Consider the following 1866-nt stretch of genomic DNA (forward strand, 5'->3'; position numbering starts at 1 on the left):
CTATCTGTTATGTGATGCTATACTAGAGTCGGATTGGAATTTGGTAACTTACTGCTATAAACAGTCTGTTTTCTCCCTCTTAAGATCTCTGTTTTCACGTTAATGATGGTCAGTTGTGCCTGAGTTCCAAAGGGAGGAGAGTATAATGAGGCATGTCTGACCTCCCCACCTTCCCATCATGGCGTGAACTAGTCTTTCAGGTTTCCCTGGACTCCCCCTAGCTAAGAGGAGGTGTCTATTCATTGGTTGCGAGGCTTAGAATTTTATTTTTGGTTTACAGTTGTCTCTAGTGATCAACTCCTGTCCCTCCTGGTAGACAGGAGAGGTGGGACACTTTTACAAATCTATTTCCTACTTTTAGATAAATAGAGGGCAGAGGTCTTTCCATGTATCTGTTTCTTCTCAATTGTCTTCAGCAGGGTGAGGGACAGGTGTGGTGATAATGAAGGAGGGAGGGACTGTTCCGAGAGTGTGACATGTGGATGTGAGATGCTGCTGGTGGAGTGGGGCTCTGTAATGGGGAGGTCTGCAGTGTGGCTGTGGGTGTGAGTGGCTGAGGCAGAAGACAAATGAAGGCCCTGGCTGTCTGCAGCCCCAGAGGCTAGGATATTGGATGGGTCAGCCTCTGGGCACTGGAGACTCCAGGGTGAGGACAGGACCTGCAGTGAGGAGGGAGGCGGTGAGAGGGAAGTGCCCAGGAGGGTAGGATGTGTCAGCACTGAGCAGGAATGAGGGTGACAGAGCTGTACTGAAGCTGCTGTTAAAGTGAACTAAATATGGTGGCCTGAGAAGGATTCTGTACTCCTATAGTTAAGTCCTTGCGGACGAACTGCAGCCTAGTTTAATAGGTAGACAAGATTGAAAATCTAACTTAGGAGTATGTGCCTGTAACAATAGCTAAGTCTTGGCCAATTCCAGCAGCTGTACTTCAACCATTCAGTCATTGCTGAGCGTTCATACTGTTCAAATAAGGCAAACACCAAGCTGTACCTGTACCTCATTTCTGATTTCTGTATGTCTGTCAGGCCTCTGAGCCCAAGCTAAGCCATCATATCCCCTGTGACCTGCACGTACACATCCAGATGGCCAGTTCCTGCCTTAACTGATGACATTCCACCACAAAAGAAGTGGAAATGGCCTGTTCCTGCCTTAACTGATGACATTATCTTGTGAAGTTCCTTCTGGCTCATCCTGGCTCAAAAGCTCCCCTACTGAGCACCTTGTGACCCCCACTCCTGCCCACCAGAGAACAACCCCCTTTGACTGTAATTTTCCTTTACCTACCCAAATCTTATAAAACGGCCCCACCCCTATCTCCCTTTGCTGACTCTCTTTTCGGACTTAGCCCACCTGCACCCAGGTGATTAAAAGCTTTATTGCTCACACAAAGCCTGTTTGGTGGTCTCCTCACATGGACAAGCACGAAATTTGGTGCTGTGACTCGGATCAGGGGACCTCCCTTGGGAGATCAATCCCCTGTCCTCCTGCTTTTTGCTCTGTGAAAAAGATCCACCTACGACCTCGGGTCCTCAGACCCACCAGCCCAAGGAACATCTCACCAATTTTAAATCAGGTAAGTGGCCTCTTCTTATTCTCTTCTCCAACGTCTCCCACTATCCCTCAACCACTTTCTCCTTTCAATCTTGGCACCACCCTTCAATCTCTCCCTTCTCTTAATTTCAGTTCCTTTCCTTTTCTGGTACAGATGAAGAGAGATGCGTTTTATCCGTGGACCCAAAACTCCGGTGCCGGTCACAGACTCAGGAAGACAGTCTTCCCTTGATGTTTAATCATGGGGGGGAAACCTGCCTGATTATTCACCCACGTTTCAGAGGTGTCTGACCACGCAGGGACACCTGCCTTGGT

The 1866-nt window shown here is 48.5% G+C and overlaps 1 annotated feature.

Moving 5' to 3' along the window:
• Positions 897 to 1407: an enhancer, noted in NCBI's record as "NANOG hESC enhancer chr3:140923620-140924130 (GRCh37/hg19 assembly coordinates)". NCBI's record gives its function as "activates a minimal SCP1, AML or CMV promoter by ChIP-STARR-seq in naive H9 embryonic stem cells {active_cell/tissue: H9 hESC(naive)}" and the evidence as "EXISTENCE:reporter gene assay evidence [ECO:0000049][PMID:30033119]".

Source organism: Homo sapiens, chromosome 3 (genome assembly GCF_000001405.40).
Source record: "Homo sapiens chromosome 3, GRCh38.p14 Primary Assembly".
Taxonomy (NCBI): Eukaryota; Metazoa; Chordata; class Mammalia; order Primates; family Hominidae; genus Homo; species Homo sapiens.